Here is a 22,586-nt window from a genome sequence, read left to right as displayed (position 1 = left end):
TTACTTGGGAGATTGAGGTGGGAGGATCACCTGAGCCTGGGAGGTTGAAGCTGCAGTGAGCCGTGACCATGCCGCTGCATTCCAGCCTGGGTGACGGAGTGAGACCCTTTCTCAAAAAAAAAAAAGTTTGATAATGGGAGTTTCCCTTAATTTTTGTTTCTAGTATTACTAATAAAAATTAGGTTTGTAAGAAGTAAAAATTTATAAGAATTCAGTCATTTATATAAGTATTCTTTGCGAACCTACTATGTGCCAGGCTCTATTTTAAGCACTGGGATAATGTAAACAAAATAGAACAGGTCACTTGGAGCCTATATTATAGAGACAGGTAGACAAAAAAGTAATAAACAAACTATCAGTAGTGCCTGGTAATGAGAGGTGATACAAAGAAAAGTAAAGCCCGGTGAGAGAGAGTGGCCAAGAAGTTACTGTGAAGTAATGTAATCAGGAGAGAGGCCTCTTTGATGAGGGGGCATTTGAGGAAACCTGAAAATGTGAGGAGTCAATAATTAAGTAAATGGCCCGGGCACAGTGGCTCATGCCTATAATTACAGAACTCTGGGAGGTTCAAGCTATTCTCCTGCTCAGCCTCCCGAATAGCTGGGATTACAGGCATGCACCACCATGCCCAGCTAATTTTGTATTTTTACTAGAGATGGGGTTTCTCCATATTGGTCAGGCTGGTCTCTAACTCCCGACCTCAGGTGATCTGCCTGCCTTGGCCTCCCAAAGTGCTGGGATTACAGGTGAGAGCCACTGCACCTGGCCATGATGTACCTTTTAAAATAGGAGAGGTATAGCCTTCAAAGTTGCAAGCCCAATGTTCTAAGTAACTTTCCTGGCCTCTAGGAAAGTTTCGGCATATAGACCCAGAAATAGCTTCCCAGACACATTAGGTCTTTTGCATATCTGGATACATTATTAAAGTAAAAGTAGAAAGAAGTGGATGTCAAATGTTTTTTTGAAAGCCAAAAATGTCACACTTTTTAAATGCCATTTCTGATGTGGTTCAGGGCATGGGCTTTGGCATCAGACAGCCTTGGGCTTAGATCTTTGCTGGGGAAACTGTGATGTCTTCGACACATGATCTTACTTACCTCTTGTCTTAAGCAGCTCGTGCTGCTATATAATAAAATACCACAAAGTGGGTGGCTTATGCAACAAAAATTTATTTCTCATAGTTGTGGTAGCTGGAAAGTCCAAGATCAAGGCACTGGTTTGCGGAGGGCAACTTTCTTGCTATATTCTCAGACGGTGAAGAGACAGCCTCGCTCTTGTGTCTCTTTTTAGAAGGGTACCCCTAAGACCTAATTACTTCCTAAATGCACCACCTCCAAATACCATCATATTGGGGATTATTAGGGGATTATTTTGAGAGAAACACAAACATTGGGATTATTAGGGGATTATTTTGAGAGAAACACAAACATTGTCAATAGCACCTCCTGAAAATGGAATTGTTACAGCTGATGCTCATAGAACAATTATTACATGCCAGACACTGTACTAAGATGTTTGCATTTATTAATTTAATCTTCACAATTCCCTTACACTCCACTTTACAGATGAGCAAAATGAGGCAGAGATTAAATTACTTTCTCAAGGTCACATGGCCATTTAAGTGACAAGGTCAGGATCTGAATGCAGGCTATCTGGTTCCAAGTCTGTGTGCTTAAGTCACATGCTGCTGCCTCTTGATGATAACAATTTCTACCTCATAGATAAGCACTCAGCACAGTGTGAGACATGAGGCAAGCCCTCAATAAATATATGTTGAATGAGTGACTTTGCAAAGTCATAGTAAATTATAACATAGCCAATAGAATATTTGTATACTCTGTTATGGCTAAATAACTCAAGTTTTCATCTTTTTAGGCTCTCTGGTGTGTATGATAGCAGCTTGGCAAATCTATTTTCCAAAAATAACCCTATTTTGATAGGACCATTATATTCTCTAGTAAAATTCGATTGTGCTGAGCCCATGCTGATGCCTAATCGTCACCTCTTACATTTCTAAATGATTACAGACTATCTGATCACCTGTTTTAGAATTTTGTCTGCAATCAGTATAAAGCTCTTCATTCTTTTTCTTTCTGTCTTTCTTTCTTTCTTTAACAGCCTCACTTGACTATTTTTTGTTTTTGTTTGCAAAGAAAGAGGTTTAATCATTGGGCTGGCCCAACTAGGAGATAGGAGGAAACCTCACATCCATCCCCTTAGTGAGTTTGGGCTTGGGTTTTTAAAGGTTTGAGAGTGGGCGGAAGTGAAGAGATCATTGATTGGTTGAAGAGTTCATGGTGGAGACATGGGGCAGGGAGATGAAGAAGCTTAGTCTCATGTTGATTCTGTTACTCTGTGCAGGTCTTTAATCTGATTGGCATCAGCTGTTTTGCTGAATGCAGGATCTCTCTTCATTCTATTTAGTGTACAGTATTTGCCTTCTTTGCATTTTTTGGAATTTAGGGGAACTTCTGGTTCTCTTCAGGATCAAAATTGGGTATACTTCGTTAGTGATGAAGACCATCAGAAATTTCCCACATAATGTTAATTTTTTATTAAAGCAATGAGATAACTATATTGTACTTGGAGAGCATTTGAATTCTACAGCTAGCAACTGGCTCCTATTTCAGGCCATAACTCCGTATCAAATTGTGGGTCTGATCCAACATAAAATGAGATTACTCATCTGTCAGAGGAAAAGCTCCAACAGGAAAATTTAGGTAGGATGTGAGTCATATAATGTGACATTCTTCTGCCCTGCAAATAAATCCTATTTAACTAAACCATATGTTTTAAAGGAGTTTAAAAAATGAAAATGTAAAAATGTTCATATATCTAACCCCTTGAAATTATGTCTTTCATACATTTGAATTTCTCAGAGTTATACTTGGACTTTGAGAATAAGTCAGTCATTTTCTTTGTGGCAAGCTTTTCCTACTGCATTTTTTCTTTAATAAATAATTTGTGATCATTTAAACATAGCAAAGAAATTGAGCTATGTGTACTTTTGTTGTTGTTATTGTTTTATCTAGATGGTATTGCCTGAGTCAAAAGTTGGTAGTAAAAGTTCTGAAATGTTGAAATGTATAGTCCATGATCTCCCTTCTTAAAATTTCTAGGAGTCAATTGAATTCTTAGGAGATGAGAATTAAACTTCATGACTTCAGTGGTCAAGTTAGCATTTTATCTCTGCAGTTTACTTTTAAAATAATGATAACTTGCTTCTATTGGGAAGTTTCAGTTCAACAGCTAGAATTTGCCAGATGCAGTGGCTCACACATGTAATCTCAGCACTGTGGGAGGCTGACGGGGGAGGATGGCCTGAGCCCAGGAATTGGAGACCACCCTGGACAACATAGCAAGACCTTGTCTTTACCAAAAAAAAACTGAAAGGAGGGAAGGAAGGAAGGAAGGAAGGAAGAAAAGAAGGAAGGAAGACAGGCCTGGTGTGGTGGCATGCACCTGTGGTCCTACCTATTTTGGAGGCTGAGGTGGGGGGGATCCCTTGAGCCCAGGAGTTTGAGGCTGCAGGAAGCCATGATTGCATCAAAACCAACAACAATAATAAGAAAAACCAAAACAAACAAACAAACAAACAACCCCCCCCCCCCAAACCCAAAACAAAAAGCCCCAGCTAGAATCAGGGTACTACTGAGATGGATTCAGTTTTGGTCACAGAACTTTCGAGTTGTACCCTACCCCTTGTTTCTTTTCTCTTTTTGCTTTTGGTATGCTGAGGGCTACAGATGAGTCACAAAGAAACTGCAAAAGATGGAGGTGGTAGGAGAAAAAAACAAGCGAGACCAGACCTTGTTGTCTCTTAGGGGAACATTAGCCTCTTATCTGAGGGTTTAAAGTGTGTGAGTATGTGTATGTATGTGTAAGTGTCTCTGTGTGTGTTTGTGGAATCTAGATAGACCTACATCTCCTTGTTAAAACTAATAAATATTGAGTCTCTTAATTTTCTGTATCATTTAATATCATCTGTCTTCTTGAAATACTGTTTTTTCTTGACTTTAGTGTTCTTCTCAAAGTACCTTTTCCTCTTGACTTCAGTGACTTGTTATACTTCTGTTTTTTCTACCTCTTTGGATATTCCTTTTCAGTTCCTTTTGGGGATTCCTCTTTTTCAGTTCATCTCTTAAGTGCCAGTGTTTCATGGGATTCTGTCCTAGAAAATGTCTCCTTTTATACACTCTCTTTAGTTTTCCACTTCCATGGTTTCAATTACCAGCAATATGCTGATGACATCTAAATCTATTGTACCAGCCCAGACCTCTTCTCTGGGCTCTCAGTGTCTCCAGATGTTCCAGGGACATTTCAAATTCACTGTGTCCACAGCCGAACTCTATCTTTCTTCTAAACTTGTTCTTCCTTGTGTTCCCTTGAGTGAATGGCAATACCCCAGTAGCCAGTAAACCAGAGTATCATTCTTGATTCCTCCGTCACCACACCCACTCCTTCTCATAAATCACCAAGTCCAGCTGAGTCCACCTACTAAACACTTAACCCATATGTTTTATCCAATTTCATTGTCACTACCATAACTCAGGTCACTATCATCTTTTTCCTAAATTATTGTATCAGCCTCCGACTTAACTGCCTAGCCTCCAGTGTTGCCCTCGAACAGTTCATTTTCCACATCTTGTATGATGCTTCTAAAACACAAGGTATGGTAGCTTGTGTCTGCAGTCCCATCCACTGGGGAGACAGGTGGGAGAATCACTTGAGCCTGGAGTCTGAGGCTGCAGTGAGCTGTGATTGCACCACTGCACTCCAGCCTCGGCAACAGAGTGAGACTTCATACCCCAAAAAGAAAACAAAACACAAATCTAACAATGCTGCTTTACATATAGCCCTCCCATGGCTTCCCATTGCTTTTAAGATACATTCCAAACCCTGTGCCATGGTTTACAATGCCTTTTCTCATCTAGTTCCTGTCTGTTTCCTCAGACCCATCTTTAAAAACTTTCCTGTTCATCTAATCTTAAACTTTACTGAATTATTTTAAATTACTCAGAAGTACCAAGTTCTCTCTTAACTTCAGCCATTTGCGTTGGGGTTACCTGCCTGAAAGACTTTCCCTGACATTTTATGCTGGCAAACTCCTAAGCATTCTTCAGGTTGCATCTCAGAGAAAGCAAAAAGCCTTTCCTGAAACCACAGACCCGGTTAAACCCCCGCTCTGTGCTCCTGAAGATTTGATACTTCCTCCATCTTTGCATTTATGGCATGGATTAAAGTGGTCTGTTTGCCTGGCTGTGTCTCCCATTAAGTTCTGTTGTAGTCACTTTTTAATCCACACTGCCTGGGCCTCAAATATGGAAGGAGCTTAGTAAATATTGAATGAGTGAATGAATGAATGAATGAATGAGAGAAGAGTGGGAAAAGGATGAAGATGGAAACATGTTTACCTGGAGCCACAAGCCTAAATGGTACTGCCTAGCAAGAGTAATCTTCATAGCCACCTTTGCATTCTTTCCATGTTCCAGGCACTGTTCAAAGCAACTCCCATACATTTAATTTTCCCAACAACCAGAACTAGATGAGGATTCTGATGCTTAGATAAATAAGGTAACTTGCCAAAGTCAGGCATTTATTAGTTTGATGCTTTCTCTTCTTTAGTGGGGAAGCTATGCATGTTTAGGACATCTAACAAGATAGACTACTAGTCATATGTCGCATATAGGTAAGACCAACGTGATTATAACAGACTTCCAGTGTAAGCCTTCAGGTTCTCTGAAACTAACAAATAAATACATTAAATCATTAAATTAGAAAATATTGTATTTAAAATAAATATACATCTTTGTTATGGGAAAATTGTTTTCAATTTTTTTTTTTCCAGATAGGGTCTCACTCTACCCAGGCTGGAGTGCAGTGGTGCAATCACGACTCACTGCATGCAGCCTTGACCTCCTGGGCTCCAGCGATCCTCCCACTTCAGCCTCTTGAGTAGCTTGGACTACAGGGGTGCACCACCATGCCCCACTAATTTTTAAAATTTTCTGTACAGACAAGGTGTTCCTATGTTGTCCAGGCTGGTCTCCTGAGCTCAAGCAATCTTCCTGCCTGGGCCTCCCAAAGTGCTGGGATTACTCAGGTGTGAGCCATGGCACCTGGCTAGAGAAAACTGTTAAACAGGATTAATTACTCTACAGAACCTTTAGTTGACATTATATAAATGAAATGTGGAACATTTCAATGAAACTACCTTCTTTTCTTTAAAATAGTTTCAAAGCCTCGAGAAGGATAGATGGTGTTTCAGTCATCTGCAATAATGTGAAGGACACCAAAGTCAGCTGAGGTGAGGCAAAGAACCAACTACGATTGAGCCAGGCTAGTGATTTAAGATGCATAAAGACATTTGTTCAGAATTGGAAAATTTTACAGAATCCAAAAAAACCTCACAACATATCTAGCCATCCAAAATATATTTCACAAGCTTCTCAGTGCACTCAATTTTTCTTTAGGAGATTAGTCAATGTTTTGGTAATCAGGCTTTGGGAAGCCAATTTAAAACTCTGCTTTTCATAGAGAAGGTGATCAGTGCATATTTGTTGATGGAGTGGCTTTAGATGGCAACACTTTGAGCTTTACCCTGAAGGAAATACATGCTGGTTGATTAACATTGTGTAAAAATAAATTCATAGCAGTTAGAACTCAAAGTAATTACATGAAATTTAAACCAGTGAAGATATTAGAGTGGTAGGACTTTTCTCCCTTAATTTTATGGAGATGCTTTATGTTTCATAGCTAAAAGTTGGGAAGAAATACAAGGTTTGCCTAGCACCATGTACAAGGGGGGAGGCTCAAGCATCTGGCTCATGTCCAGGTGAACTCTGCAAAAGCAACCCTGTGGACTGGAGTAGGTAGCTTCACCCTGTGGCCATACCCCTCAGGCTTTGATGTCTATTTTGTCTTGTTGTGACACCAGTTAACAAGATTTCATTCTGTCCCAAGCCACAAAGCAAACTGATCATTTGATTAGCCCACACTCTGCAAAAGCCCTGTGCTCAGTGCACAGTCATGTGTACATATTTTGTTGTGCATGTCCAATATTGAAGAGCCTCCAGCAGAGCCCAGGGGCAGAAATAGAGATGCTCTGTCAGGCTGAGCTCTACCCCACCCTTCTCTGTGGGTGTCACACTGCTCGGAAAGAAGTAGGCAGAACAGCTGGAGTGAGGCAGGGCTGTTGGCAACAGAACATGATGTCAGAACCCACTTGGCGAAGAGCACCCATTGGTAGTTACATTCAGAGTGCCAGGGCTTTTCAAGCTGCCAAGAGAGAATGCTTGTGGGTGGGTGGTAGAACAAAAAGGCAAAGGGAACAACGCAAGCCCATTTCCAAGGAGGGGCGAGAAATAAGCAACAAAGAAGATGCCTTCAGATATGTGACATGTCAGTGGCTGTTCTGGGGTGACACCATCTGTATTCAGTGAGCTACCTAGAGATAAGGTAAGTTGACAGCTTGCTTGAGGAGCTGTGTATGAGACACAGTTCTTAAAACACCAAGATGGGCTTTGTGGGCCTGCTCTGATTCCACAAAGGGTCAGAGAGGGATGTAGGGCTGCTAGCATCTCTGCAACAGCACAGTCTTAGAACAAGGAAATAACTTGCTAGAACCACAAGGCTCTCCTGTGACGTCTGGACCAGAAAACGGCTCCATGAATATCAGGAAGGCATGTTTGTGGCATCCCAGGAATGCACCAGGCTTGCCAAAGCAGATGAATAGTCCAATTTACCAGACATGATCCCATGAAAATAAGAATCTAAATATGAATGAGTGACCTCCTGGAGACAGAAAATATTAATATTTAGTCTATTGCCTCCATATATGTGGGCATTGTTTGTTCCTTTTGCCTTTTTGTTCTACCCATCCACCCACCCATTGTCCTTTTCTAGCAGCCTAAAAAGAAGCAATGGGCCCCCCAAAAAACAGTTTCCTAGCTAGAAAAATACCCAATAAATGTTAATCTCAGTCCTTCCTATGAATCCCACCTCCTTCTGCTTATTTGTATCACTTTGATACATATGATATCAAATTCTGTAGCTCTTTTCCATATTCTGTTCTGTAATTGTTATCTGTTTTATTAAATTTAATCTCCTCCTAATAAGAAAATAAAAATTCCTTGAGGATTCCTTAAAGATGAGGATGTGCATTATGCATTAGTTAGCTGGGGCGGCAATAATAAAATACCATAGACTGGGTGGCTTCAATGACAGATGTTTATTTCTCACAGTTCTGGAGGCTGGGAGTCTGAGATCAGGGTGCCAGCATGGTTGAGTTCTGGTGAGGACTTGCCTCCTGGCTTGCAGATGGCTGCCTTCTCAATGTGTCCTCACATGGCAGAGAGGGAAAGAGCTCTGTACTCTTCCTCTTCTTATAAGGACACTAATCTCATGATGGGGGCCCCACCCTCATGACCTTATCTAAACCTAATTACTTTCCCAAAGGTCCCACCTGCAAATACCATCACATTAGAGTTTAGGGTTTTAACATACGAGTTTTGGGGGAACATATATTCAGTTTATAACAGGATTCATATTTCATTAATTAGTATTCTATCTAATGCATAAAGGGTGAACTGTGGAAAATACAGTTAATGTTAAGTGGGTTTTTTTATTTCTTTAGTACCTAACACAGTACAGTTGCAATCAGACATTAGAAACCTTTTGTCGATTTGTTAGATAACTCTGTATGTTCATGATAAAGTTTGTGTTTTTGATTTTGAATCTATTTGGTGAAATGAAGTGGGGAGTTCCACAACTATTTGGTGAATCTTGATTAAGTCAATCTACTCTTCACACCCACTAGGTTGGCTATAATATAAAAGACAGACATAACAAGTGTTGGTGAGGATGTGGAGAAATTGGGACCCCTGCATATTGCTGGTGGGAAGGTAAAATTGTACAACCACTTTGGAAAACAGTTTGGCAGTTCCTCATAATGTTAAACATAGAGTTACATAAGTTAACAGAGTTAAATATATGACCCAGCAACTCCACTCCTACATATCCACCCAAGAGAAATGAAAACATGCTCACATAAACACTTGTACACAAATGTTCAAAGAAACATTATTCACAATAGCCAAAAAGTAGAAATGATGTAAATGTCCATCAGTTAGAGAATAAATAGACAAAATGTACTATAGCCATTAGTTAAATGGAATGTTATTTAGCAATAAAGAGGAATTTTTTATTGATACATGTTACATGCCACAATAGGGATGAACCTCAGAAACATTATGCTAAGTGAAAGAAGCCAGTCAAGAAAGACCACATAGTGTATGTTCTCATTGATATAAAATATTCGAAAAAAGAAGAATTTAGAGACAGAAAGTAGATTACTGGTATTGTGGGAGTGAGGAAGGAAGGAGGTGGTAAGGAGAAAGGGGAATGGAGAGTGACTGACAGTGGGTCCAAGGTTTCTTTGGGGGATGATGTAATGTTCTAAAATTGGGTTATGATTATGGTTTCACAAGTCTGTAATATATCAAAAACCACTGAACTGTATACTGTAAAGTAGTGTACTTAAATTATATATTAATATATAATGATATATAATTATGTAATTAAAGGAGTGTATGTAAATTATATTTCAATAAACATGTTTTTAAAAAGAGAAAGTGTCCATCCATGTGTCCGAGCTAAGATAAAATCTTTCTTAAATGATTGATTTTTGAGCAGAGAATCAGAGTTTCCAGTTTCCAACTTGTGTTCTGCCACTACCTTTGACAAGTGATTTGATTTTTCTTGACATAGTTTTATTAACATGCTTTCCAGATCTAAATTTTTAATGATATAACAATAAAACCAACCCCCCCATCACTCTTATATTTTAAAAAACTTTCTGTAACATAAGAACAAAATATATTTGAATGAAGAATACTGACATTATTAAATTGGAAAATAATGCCAAATAACTCTTTAGGTTTAGACTATGCTCATCTTTGGGAACAATTTAGGAAATTCTACCCATGTCTCTTCACATAGTTGGAATTGAATTTGTGCACTTTGCAGAAAGCACTTCATTCTTAATTGAAGATTGCAGTTGGGATCAAATTAGATAATGTATGTAAAAGTGCCCTGTTAATTGGTCTACAAATATATGTTATCATTATTATTTATTTATTTTTAGAAACAGGATCGCATTTTGTTGCCCAGCTTGGAGTGCAGTGGTGTGAGCATAGCTCAATGCAGCCTCAAACCCCTGGGCTTAAGTGATCCTCTCACTTTAGCCTCCTGAGTAGCTGAGACAATAGGCACTCTACACACTTGGCTAAGTTTTTTTTTTTTTTTTTTTTTTTCTCAGTAGACATGAGATCTCATTATGTTGCCTAGGTTGGTCTCTAACTCCTGACCTCAAGCAATCCTCTTCCCTTGGCCTCCCAAAGTGCTGGGATTACAGGCATTAGCTGGGAATATAAGAAATAATGCAGCCTAGGATATATTTTAGGATTATTTAAAAATCAGTCCCTCTAAAAGCTTCCTGAAAAGTGATGTACCCTCTCAAATATTTTAAAATTGACATCTTAAATATTTCATCATAAATTTAAACAGCAGCAAAGGATATTGTTTATGGCACATTGTAAATATTTATATTTTAAAGTGAAGCTTTTCTATCACTCTCCAGTGGAAATACAGATACCACAGTAATTTGGAATCCATCACCAGCGTCCATTTAAAACATTAATAAACAAGCTCCTCTCCAATAGTTAGAAATTTCACATCATCCTTTTTCTCTTTCAACTTCCATTTCTATTCTACGTCTCCAATAGATGTTTATCCTAATGTAATATATTTATATTGAATGTCTTCAATTGGTAATTCAATTGGTAGTCATTCTTCATATAAAATATATGTCCTTTGACCCCATGTATAAAACAATTTCTTTTGGATTTACTTGTTATTCTAAATACTGGTGATATACATTTGATTAAAACAGCATACATTATAAATTTTGATAAACCATTCTTATATGACTATTAGTTGGCACAATCCCCATGGATGATACACAGAGGGGCAGTAAGAAGGTTTATTGGAAGTCTTATATCAAAGAGACACCAGCAAAGCACACAGAATCTCTCAAATCATCATCCCGCAGAGAGGGGTGTGTAGGTTCAGGACCTTACTTGTGGAAACCTGGGGCACTAAGAGGAGACAGGGAGCACTTATTTGACTATGTGACAGTGGGGCTTCCTAGAGGTGGGATGACCGTCTTAGAAAAAGGAAATATTTGGAGCTCAGTGAGGCTGTCATTGGCTAGAAGCTGGTGGAGTAGGGAGAGAGCCACTGAAGCTGTGCAGCAGGAAAAAGCTTGTTTCTTGTCACCTAAGAAGTACAATTTATTGGAAACCTATCTCTTAATGAGGGGATAGGAGAGGATGTATTATGGTGCCTTGATCAAAGGATTGCTGGATTTCTTCTTGATTTGGCAATGTGTGATAGGAGTTAGGATAAGTTAGGAGTCAGTAAGATATTGTTAAGGTGGGGAAAAAAATCTGGAAAGCAGACTATGAAAATAGACCCAGTCGGGCACGGTGGCTCATGCCTTTAATCCTAGCAGTTTGGGAGGCCGAGGCGGACTGATCATGAGGTCAAGATATCGAGACCATCCTGGTCAACATGGTGAAACCCCATCTCTACTAAAAATACAAAAATTAACTGGGTGTGGTGGCACACACCTGTAGTCCCAGCTACTTGGGAGGCTGAGGCAGGAGAATCGCTTGAACCGGGGAGACGAAGGTTGCAATGAGCCGAGATCACGCCACTGCACCCCAGCCTGGTGACAGAGTGAGTCTCAAAAAAAAAAAAAAAAAGGAAAGAAAGAAAACAGACCCTTGACCTATTGCTAAGTGAAAGAAACCAATCTAAAAAGACTGCATACTGTATGATTCCAATTATATGACACCCTGGAAAAGCCAAAACTATTGAAACAGTGAAAAGATCACTGGTTGTCAGATGTTAGGAGAGAGGCAGGAATGAATAGGTGGAACACAGAGGATTTTTAGAGCAGTGAAACTATTCTGTGTGATCCTGTAATGGTGGATACCTGTTATTACACACTTGTCCAAACCCATAGAGCATATAACACCAAGAGAGAACCCTGATGTGAACTATGAACTCTGGGTAATGACATACCCATGCAGGTTCATTGATGGTGACAAATGTACAGCTCTGGTGGGGGACAGTGACAGTGATCTGTTGATAGGATGGCTGTGTGTGCAGAGAAGGGGACGTATATGAGAAAACTCTGTACTTTCTGCTCAGTTTTGTTGTGAACCTAAAACTGCTCTAAGAAATAAAGGTGAGAGTGAGGAAAAAAGAGAGGCAAGGGTACCCTTGATGACAGACATCTTCTTAGACAAACAATTTTAGGAAAAAGTATGTAGATGTTGAGTATTTGGACATAGTCATAAAATTAACCATGTTCATCTGCCTTTATTTATTCATTTATTTTTATTTGTTTGTAGAGAAGGGGGTCTCACTGTTTTGCTCAGGCTGCTCTGCTCTTGAATTCCTGGGCTCAAGAGGTCCTCCCACCTCAGCCTCCCAAAGTGCTGGGATTACAGGCATGAGCCATTGTGTCTGACCTTCATGTGCCCTTTAGAAAGTCTTCATATACCCTTAGGTGTATCTGAAACCTAGTTTGAAGACTTTTGGTCGAAGGTTGTGGAGAGTGAATGAACAAGGAAAATGTAATAGAAAAGATGGATTATTCACTGAATGAATGATTCTTGGAGAACTGGGTAGTCAAATGGAAAAAAAAGGACGGATCTCTACGCCATATCAAAAATTAAATTCTGGATGTATCAAAAATGTAAACATAAAAAACAACCAGGGACCCTGGTGCATGCCTATAGTCCTGGCTATTCAGGAGGCCAAGACAGGAAAATCGCTTGAACTCAGGAGTTAGAGGCCAGCCTGGGCAATGTAAAGAGACCCTGTCTCTAAAAATATATGTCCGTATTTCCCTATATATAGATGTATATATAAAAGTTTAGGCTGGGCGTGGTGGCTCATGCCTATAATCTTAGCACTTTGGGAGGCCAAGGTGGGCAGATCATCTGAGGTCAAGAGTTTGAGACTAGCCTCTACTAAAAATATAAAAATTAGCCAGGCGTGGTGGCAGGCACCAGCTACTCGGGAGGTTGAGGCAGGTGAATCGCCTTAACCCAGGAGGCAGAGGTTGCAGTAAGCCAAGATCATGCCATTGCACTCCAGCCTGGGCGACAAGAGTGAAACTTCGTCTCAAAAAAAAAAAAAAGTTAAAAAAAACCCATAAACATACCGAATACCAGCAGAAACAATAGCTGGAGAATGGTACGTGTGATTAGTGTGGTGAGCAATGAAGCATACAGCTGGTTTCTGTCATCACAAGAGTGCTTACAGATTGGCGCTGACATCGGTATGTTAATACCCTGACTTGTGACATGTTAACAATAAGAATGATAGTTAACCATTATTGAGCGCTTATTATGTTCTTGACAATGTTCTAAGCATTTTACATGTATTAAACCACTTAATCTTCACAACAACCCAATGATGAGAGTAATATTATTACCTCCATTTTATAGATGAGGCAACTGACTCACCAGGAGTTGAAGTTACATGGTAGTTAGGAGTAAAGCCAAGATTTATTAATTTAGGCAGCTGGCTCCAGACCTCAGGGACTAAGTCACCACACTTTACGATGAAACAATGTTTTCCACAATATGCCTTTAAAAAATACTAGACATACCAGATTAATAACTGTTAAATTTTGACAAAGTTGAATCTGCAGTGATAAGTTTAAACAATTTGTATATTTCCTTTAGAAAAAGACTGTCTTTATTTAACAGTTCAGCGAAAGGACATAGTACTATTTTATCCCTTATATATTTCACTAGGATAGTATAATTTTGACATCTCTACAAGGCTTATTTCATAATTTAATTTCATAGTATTAAAAAAATACAGCTCATAGAGTAGAAACACATTGCCATTATGTATCAATTATTTTACAATTATGATTATCAATAGTTTATCACAGGATGGTAGACAAAATAGTCATTCTTCACATTAGTATTCTGCTTGTGTTGAAGCTGGGAGCAAATATCACATTATTTCTTTGGCAGACTAAATCTGTAAATCTCATTAGAAATGCGTAAATACCAAATAGCATACCAAATGTAATAGCTTTATAAGACTGTTGTGAAATAATTATTGTGATGTTAAAGAAGATATAAAATAATGGATTGTCAGATGCTTGATAACAAAAAATGCTCTATTAATGCTCTTTAGTATTTAAAAAGGAATTTGTAAGATAAGACCACTTTTTGTTCAAAATTAAAGATGAAGAGAAGCCTTTTTCTCAGGGAGGTAGAGATGGGGAAAGTTTCATTCTTAAGCCTGTACAAATGAATTTTTATTTATTTGAATAAATAACCTGAAAGAGACTAAAAACTGCATGCCATCACACAGTGCATGAAGCCCTGTCCTCAGAAGCATAGGTGGGAGGTCTTATCAACATAGCTTTCTTTCTTTCACATCCTTTTCTACTTGGAAATGGTTTGGGCTGGATCAGAGAAGTTGAAGAGGTATGTGTAATACTCGGGAAAAATATCTTCTTCTCAGCTAGTAGGAGAATTCCTTGGGGGCAGAGGCAATTTTATTTAAAAGGCAATTTGATAAACCTACAGGTAGAAATTAGCTCAGGTTGGCACCTAGGTTTCCTGCATAACAAAGAAAGGAAAGGAGGGAGAAGTGACAACTTTGCTGGGGAAGAAAGGTTATAAAAAGGAGACAACTCCACGTGCTGTCTACATTGTTCAGTCGTGCTTTGTGGAGTGATTTTTCTCCATGAGGGAAACAACATGTTGTGCTGAGTCCTGTTTGTGGTTTGCACACAGTGAAAATGTGGCTGATATGTAGGTGACACATGAATAACCCCACTTACTTAATGTATTAATAAAAGGAATAAAGTCGTGGCTGGAATGAGCAGTGAGCCGTGAAGGAACCTCTTCAGCAAATGTGTCAGAGGCCCTTCCAGGAGCCAATGACTCCCCTGAAAGAAAGCAGTCTGGGTTCCCCACCTACTCTGTCATCCTGGCAGCTGGCAGCAACTCATTCTGATAATCTCTCTCTTCCACCATCCCTTGTTTTGGCAGTAAAAAATGATAAGCTATTTGAATTTTGGAACTAGAAGGGATTTGGAGATAATTATGCTTAATCCCCCAGTTTGAGGAACAGAACCACAATGAAGTTTAAGACATGTGCGATGTTGTATGGCTTATGCTGGCAGGGGATGGTGAGAATCCAGGTTCTGAAGTTTTCAACCAATACTCTTTCCACAACACCAGAAAATCTGAAGAAATTTGGAGAAGGAGGAAAAGTCTTACAGGTAAATATAACCAAGGCATCAGCAAAACGATGAAACTGATATATAGCTGTTTTCCTCTTGCAAAATACTTTTTCATCTGACAAGATACACAGGATAGATGAAAACATTAAATGTGAAAAATATGTAAGTAGCAGGTGCTGAGCTTTATATAATGAGTTGTGTGTTCATTTCTTCTTAAAGGTGAGAAACGGTTCAACCACAGCTGGGGTGGGTGGAGAAACATAATTCTTGGTGATGCATAGTGAAAATCATAGCCCCCCAGCTCAGCCATACAGCATTTGAAGAGGCCATGATTATGAGGGGCCACACACAAGAGCCAGATGTGTACAAGTGACAAGGAATACGCATTTTCTTCAGATGTCACAAGTCCTCTTTTTCATTATTGAGTAATGACTATAATAGCATCACTTAGTTCAACCAACAGTATCTGTGATGGAGCAAAAGAAAACCTCAAGACGGTATTAGTGTTCAAATAACACAAGTTTCGCAAACACCCAGAACATTTTCTTTTTACAATGATTCACAGGTTATTAAAAAAAAAAACAACAACAACTGTAAGACAATTTCCTGTTGGTGAATTTATAACCATAGCTTTTGAATTCTTGAAAAAAATGCTTTCAGGTTGGCCATCTCTATAATGCTGATCATCTTGGTGTTTAGGTGTTCAGAGCCACTAAGCTACAACAAAGCACTTAAGTATAAAGTGATAAAAAGAGTCCTTGCTTCTCTCTCCAAGCCAGCAGCTTCTAATCGGGAATAATGATTTCAGAGGGGAGAGTTAGAAGATTCCTTGGATAGATTCACAGTGGCTTCCAGATGGCTGATACGAAAGCCAGAGGGAGGCTTGGGTAGGCAGTCATTTGATAGCTGGTTTATGAAGGGGATAGCAAAATTAATTTCCAGATATATTTCCAACTAGAGGCCTTAGAATCTCTCACCAAGGGTTTCTGTTGTAAACCACAATTGGTATTCATGACAATGGGCCTTCTAATATGACGTATTACGGAGGCAATCATACCAAGCCTATACCTTAGCGACTGTGGAACTGGCCTCTCCAAATATAGAAAACTAAGTAGAAATATTATTCATAACTGCAAAACAGCATTGTGGCTTTCTATGTTAACATACTTAAACTCTAAGGAAATAGTCCAGGAGGGATATGTGTATGCTTTCCTAGAACTTACGACTAAAATAGATTACTTTAATGTTTCAGATCATATGGTGAAACCGTAGTTTTAATCAAAATAAAATATATCTACAGGAGTGGCATATGCAAATAATGGAATATGTATTAGTCAGGGTTCTCCAGAGAAACAGAACCACGAGGAGAATGTTAATGTCCTCCAGAAACACCCTCACAGGCACACCTGGAATAATGTTTGACTAAATGTCTGGGCACCCCAGGGCCCAGTCCAACTGACACATAAAATTAACCATCACAGAATATTATTCAGCCTTAAAAAGGAAGGAGATTCAGACATATGCTACAACATGAATGAAACTTGAGGACATTATGCTAAGTGAAATAAGCCAGTCACAGAAAAGAAAGTTACTGAATCCACTTATATGAGGTACCTAGAGTAGTAAAATTCATAAAGACAGAAATTAGAATGGCTGTTGCCACGGGCTGGAGGAAGGAGGAAATGGGCAGTTGTTTAATGGGCATAGAGTTTCAGTTTTGCAAGATGGAAAAATTCTGGACATGGATGGTGGTAATGTTGCACGAGAAAGGGAGTATATGTAATATCACTGGACTATACACTTAAAAGTAAGTAGGATGGTAAATTTTATGTTAAGTGTATTTTACCATGTTCAGAAAGAAAAAGAAAAGAAAAAATGCTGTCTATAAGAAACATTTACCTAGATGCAAATCAAATGGATTATAATGTTTCCAAGTATTTTAGGAGACCACCTGGATGATGTAAACACCCCCTCTATCAAGGTCATCACACAAGCAGATTCATAATTTCCACAGAAAAAGCTGTGAAATTGTTTTACCAGACAGTAGGGATTGAGTCAATATTAGTTCCTCAGTTTACCGCATAGGCATATCATCATTTGTACATAAAATAGCTTCTCTTTCAGTCCCCTAATATACTGAATTTTTTTGAAATAGACAAAGTTTCAACAATGTATTTCTATATATAAAAATTAATAAAATTGAAAACAAACATCGATCATTGGTTTTACCTCTAATGTAGTAGATTATCATTATAAAATGCTTTAACATAAATATGTCATTTGATTCTTAAAACAATCCTGCAATGTTTTATTTTTACTGTTGATGAACTTTAGTGTCAGAAAGGTTAAACAATTTTCCTGAAGACACACAGCTAATTCACAGTGGAGCCATCTAGAATGCCATCCCCGAAGCGATGCAGAGGCAGAAGAGAAATGCCTGAGTGGAGTATCACTCAGGGGCCTGCCAAGAGCCAGGCATCCTCTAAAGGGGTGATCAAAGAGTTGGTGTCTTACTCTGTTTGGGTTGCTGTACCAACAATACCATAGACTAGGTGGCTTAAACAACTTACTTCTCACAGTCTTGGAGGCTGGGAAGTACAAGGTCAAGGTGCCCTCAGATTATGTGTCTGGTGAGGGCCCACTTCCTGGTTCATAGATGGCTGTCATCTCACTGTGTCCTCACATATTAGAAGGGGTGAGGGAGCGCTCTGTGGTCTCTTTTAAGGGCACTCATCCCATTCGTGAGAGTGCTGCCCTCATGACCTAATAGTCTATCTAAGGTCCACCTCCTAAGCTTCCAGGATTAGGATTTAACATATGAATTGGGGCAGGGGGACACAAATATTATCTTAGTTTGTTTTGTGCTGCTGGAACAGCATATCTGAGACTGGGTAATTTATAAAGAAGATAAATGTATTTCTCACCATTCTGGAGGCTGAAAAGTCCAAGATCAAGTTGCTGCAGTTTGGTTGTCTGGTGAGGGCTGCATCCTCCTGAGAGGAGGAATGCTGTGCCCCAGCAAGGCAGAAGGTGGAAGGGCAAGCTTGCCAAATGAATGCTGCAAGAAGCCTCTTTTGTAAGAGTTTTAATTCCACTCATGGGGGAGGAGCCCTCATGACCTAATAACTTCTTAAACCCTCACCTCTTATTACTCTCACATTGACAACACCTGAATTTTTGAGGGGGGGCATATTCAGACTATAGCAAACAATTAGTTCATAGCAGATGGTAATGAAGGGGTGACAGCAACAGCGGGAAACTGTTACCATCCATAATCTCAAAGAGGCAAAGGGAGAAGGTGGGTACTGGAACCTGATGAGATCAGCAGCTACTAGACACTGAGGACTCTAGAGGAGGGAGTTGGCTATGATTAACTTCCAGCCTAGCAGGGAGGGGCCAGGGAATAAATACCACAACCCCTCTCTGCTTCCATCCTTCAGTGGTGCCTCCCTTGGAAAAAGCCTAGCAGAAAGTGTAGGGCAAGAGGTGGCTAATCAATGTGAGCTAATGGGACACACAGCAGGGTGGAGGGTAGACCTGAAAGGCATATGGAGAAGATCTAACACAGACAGGAGAAGGTTAGCTTTATTCAAAATCTTTCAAGTGAGTGATTCACTTGCAGAACTTCCAGGTACTGTGGTAATTAAGAAACATTATTTTCATTAAACTTTAAAAAATTATTAATATTATTTTTGATTGAAAAATTATAATTGTCTTATTTTTTGAAGAATTCATTTCTTTGAGTTCTCTTAGATAAAACACTGCAGTCTATTATATTGTGAATTAATAATTTTTTAAAAGTTCAATGTGCGTTTTAATTAATTCTAATTCAGAGGCAAAATTACCATTTTGAAAACAATTCTAACTATAGGAAAATGGCTACATAGTTTAAAAAGAAAAGAAAGGAATTCTCAATTGGTGGAAAGGACATAACTACCAGACACTCAACCTGAATTGCAGTTTTCACTTTTGTACTTCCTCTGTGTCTGACTTTGGGTAAGTCACTTATTCTCATTAGGTTTCAAGGTCTTTATCTGCAGTATAAAGAAGTTGAACTAGAATAGTGATTCCCACATCTAGTTAATCATCAGAGTCATTTGGGAACTAACTACCTTCCTTCCTTCGTGGTTTTTTTTTTTTTTTTTTTTTAACACAGAGCCTCACTCTGTCACCCAAGCTGGACTGCAGTGGCGGGATTTCAGCTCACTGCAGCCTCTGCCTCCCAGGCTCAAGCGATTCTCGTGCCTCAGCCTCCTGAGTAGCTGGGATTACAGGCACACGCCACCACGCCCGGTTACTGTTTTGTATTTTTAATAGAGATGGAGTTTCACCATGTTGGCCAGGCTGGGCTCAAACTCCTGACCTCAAGTGATCCACCTGCCTCAGCCTCCCAACATGCTGGGATTACAGGCATGAGCTAACACTCTTGGTTGAAAGAGGTTTAATCATTGGCCTGGTCCAAGGAGGAGAGACAGGAGGAAACCTCAAATCCATCCCCTCAAGGAGTCTGGGGCTAGGGTTTCATTCCTTCCTTTTTTTTTCCAGTAGCAACTTACTTCATTGAAATGAATGATACAAATATTGAAGGGAAAAACAGGTAGATAGATTGGTACGGTCTATGGGAAGAGTGAAGATAATCCAAAGATGTGTGTAGTATATTGGTGACCATGGAAAGTCAACCCCACGGCCATGAGTTCCCAGCCTCAAGCCTAGGCTTGTCAAAGAGATGCTCCACATGCCAGATTCTATGGCCACTTCATGCAAGCTGCTTACACCTGCTCATTCACATAATGAGTCTCAAGAAAGTCACACAACCCAGGGTTGTTTCATAATTTGGGTAATTTCAGTGGGCTATTTAGATAATTTCAGTAAAGACACAATACTTTAAAAAATGTAAACGTACTCCTTTGTACTGGGCTTACACTCCTAGTTTCATGGTCTGGTTTCCTGATGATCTGAGGATTAGGTCACCTTATTGGTTCTGCTCTTTTACCAGTTTCTCAGCATGGTTCCTCTCCACATCATCCTACTGCTTCCATAGTGAGGTATGGAAAGTAGACCCGTGGGAGATGAAGAGCTCCAGATTGATCCAGTCTCCAGGTCCTGGTGGTGGCTCCAGTGTTCTTACGAGGAGGAAAAAAGGGAGGTGGAAACTGTGTGGTGGATGGTGGTATGAAGCCCTCAGCATGGAAAGCTGTATATGGCAGGGATGGAGGGCTGGCCTGGAGTGGCTGACCACATTTATTATTAAACAATATTTGCATGGCAAAACAGTTAGAAATATTGTTACCTCCATTAAAAATGATAGTAATAATAATAACACAAACTGTCATTTGTTAGGTGCTTACTAAATGCCAGGTGCTTTACACGTATTATTCCATTTAACAGTTACAACAGCCTTATTCAAGTAGATGTCATTAACATGCTATTACCCCATTTGACAGATAAGAAAACTGAGGCTTTTGAATATATCTTAGGGTGCCTCCAGCAGTTCAAAATAATCAAACTCAAACCAGCTTAAACAATAATGAAATGCATTTTTGTACAAAATAGAATGCCCAGCAGTAGGCAAGCCTTCAAGATTGATGGATTTACTGGCCCAATAGTGCCATCAGGGAATCAGGTTCTCTCTGATGTGCCATTTATCAATTCAGCTGTGGCTGGTTCTCCCCATGGACATAAGGTGGCTGCCACCAGAAACTGGGCTGCCATTCTTATTTACTTATATTTGACATGCATGGGAGAGAACCTTCTCCCCAGTGCGTGGATCATGTGTACTTCCTGTGCTGGGTAATGCCTGTTGTATTTCAGCTTCATTCCTGCCCTTCTCTCCTCTCGACCATCTTGCTGAGAGCCTAGACTCCCCCGCCACCCAGCTTCCCATCAGGTAATGTCATAATGGGAGGCACTGCCAGGATGTTGGAAGATGAGCGAAAGGGAGAAGACTTCTTTGTTTTCTGGCTTCTGGTGGTGTCTTGGGAGGTGGCTGGTGAGCCCAGTCCTCGGATCCAGTTGGGAGATTAGACTTCTCCACTGGCAGCAGCAGCCATAGACACTGTGGGGGCTTTCCTGACACAGTGATCATGGGCTCTGTGTAATCCCATTTTCCCCTTTGCTTCTCTAGTCCAGGAGAGCTACAATCTTGTGGTAAACTTACTGTCTCCTTTTTACTCCTTCTACCATTCAACAGCCTTGTAACTAATTTTACTAGCTTAAACAGTATTAAATTCCCCTACTTTAGATACTTATAGTGGTTTTATTTTCTTTTTTAGACACTGTAAGACTTCAGTTAGATTAGATCAATTTACATCAGATGTGCCCTCCTGGACCAAAAAAAAAACAACAAAACTTCATATTCCCTGAATGCATTTTAGACCATTCTGGACCCACTTCCCTGGAACGGTTTCCTCTAAGTCACATGGGATGCATGGAGAAGAGGTAGATATCGAAATAAAGTCTTGTTGCCACTTGCAGCACTACAGTATATGGTGTAGTAAAAGGCCGAGTATCTAGGGCTGGGACTGGAACCCAAGTGTGTTTGCTGCCAGTCTGTGCCACAGTGTCTACCTGCACATGTCTGGAAGGCAGATTGGGTCATGAGGTCTGGGAGTGCAAGCCCTAGATGTTGAGGTGGTTAGATCTCACAAGCTGGTGTTTCAGTAAGGATGTAGGAGTTACAGACAAAATCTACTTTTATTATTCCTTTCCCCCCTCTGGACTGCCCAATTTTTGTCTTGTGTGTGTGTGCAAGCTCAACGCTCTTCATCGTCAACTCGTGCAGGAGCTTGCAGACCTGTCATCAGCAGCAACAGTTTCTCCACTGCCATTAAAGTTATGCTGAACAAAAGATACATTGCTCGATAATGCTCAGATTCTTTATTTTGCTACATGACATAGTATTGATCAAGTCCAGGGTTGGCCACAGTCACACTGACTTTTTTCAATGTTCCTGTTAATTTACTGCAGAATCCAAACTGAAGATATAGCATTTGGCTGCAATTACAATCTGTCACTTAATATTTTTCTTTTCCAATATTGAACAGACTTAGTGTATCTTCTGCTGTGTTTAAAGACATTCTAAATCAAGGACAGAATCCAGAGTATTTTTCACAAAACTATTCTTAGTGGTGAATTCCGGATTTCAAGGGCTACCCACATAGGACTATCTCCCACATACCCCTCCAGTAAATTTCTTTATTAGATTTCTTTTCTTTGTCTTCCCTCCCTCCCTTTCTCC

General features: G+C 39.7%; 1 annotated feature.

Moving 5' to 3' along the window:
* Positions 3,878 to 3,927: an enhancer, noted in NCBI's record as "active region_21868". NCBI's record gives its function as "activates an Ori minimal core promoter by ATAC-STARR-seq in GM12878 lymphoblastoid cells {active_cell/tissue: GM12878}" and the evidence as "EXISTENCE:reporter gene assay evidence [ECO:0000049][PMID:35858748]".

The sequence above is a fragment of the Homo sapiens genome, chromosome 4 (genome assembly GCF_000001405.40).
Source record: "Homo sapiens chromosome 4, GRCh38.p14 Primary Assembly".
Lineage (NCBI taxonomy): Eukaryota > Metazoa > Chordata > Mammalia > Primates > Hominidae > Homo > Homo sapiens.
This window is presented reverse-complemented; position numbering and strand designations above follow the sequence as displayed.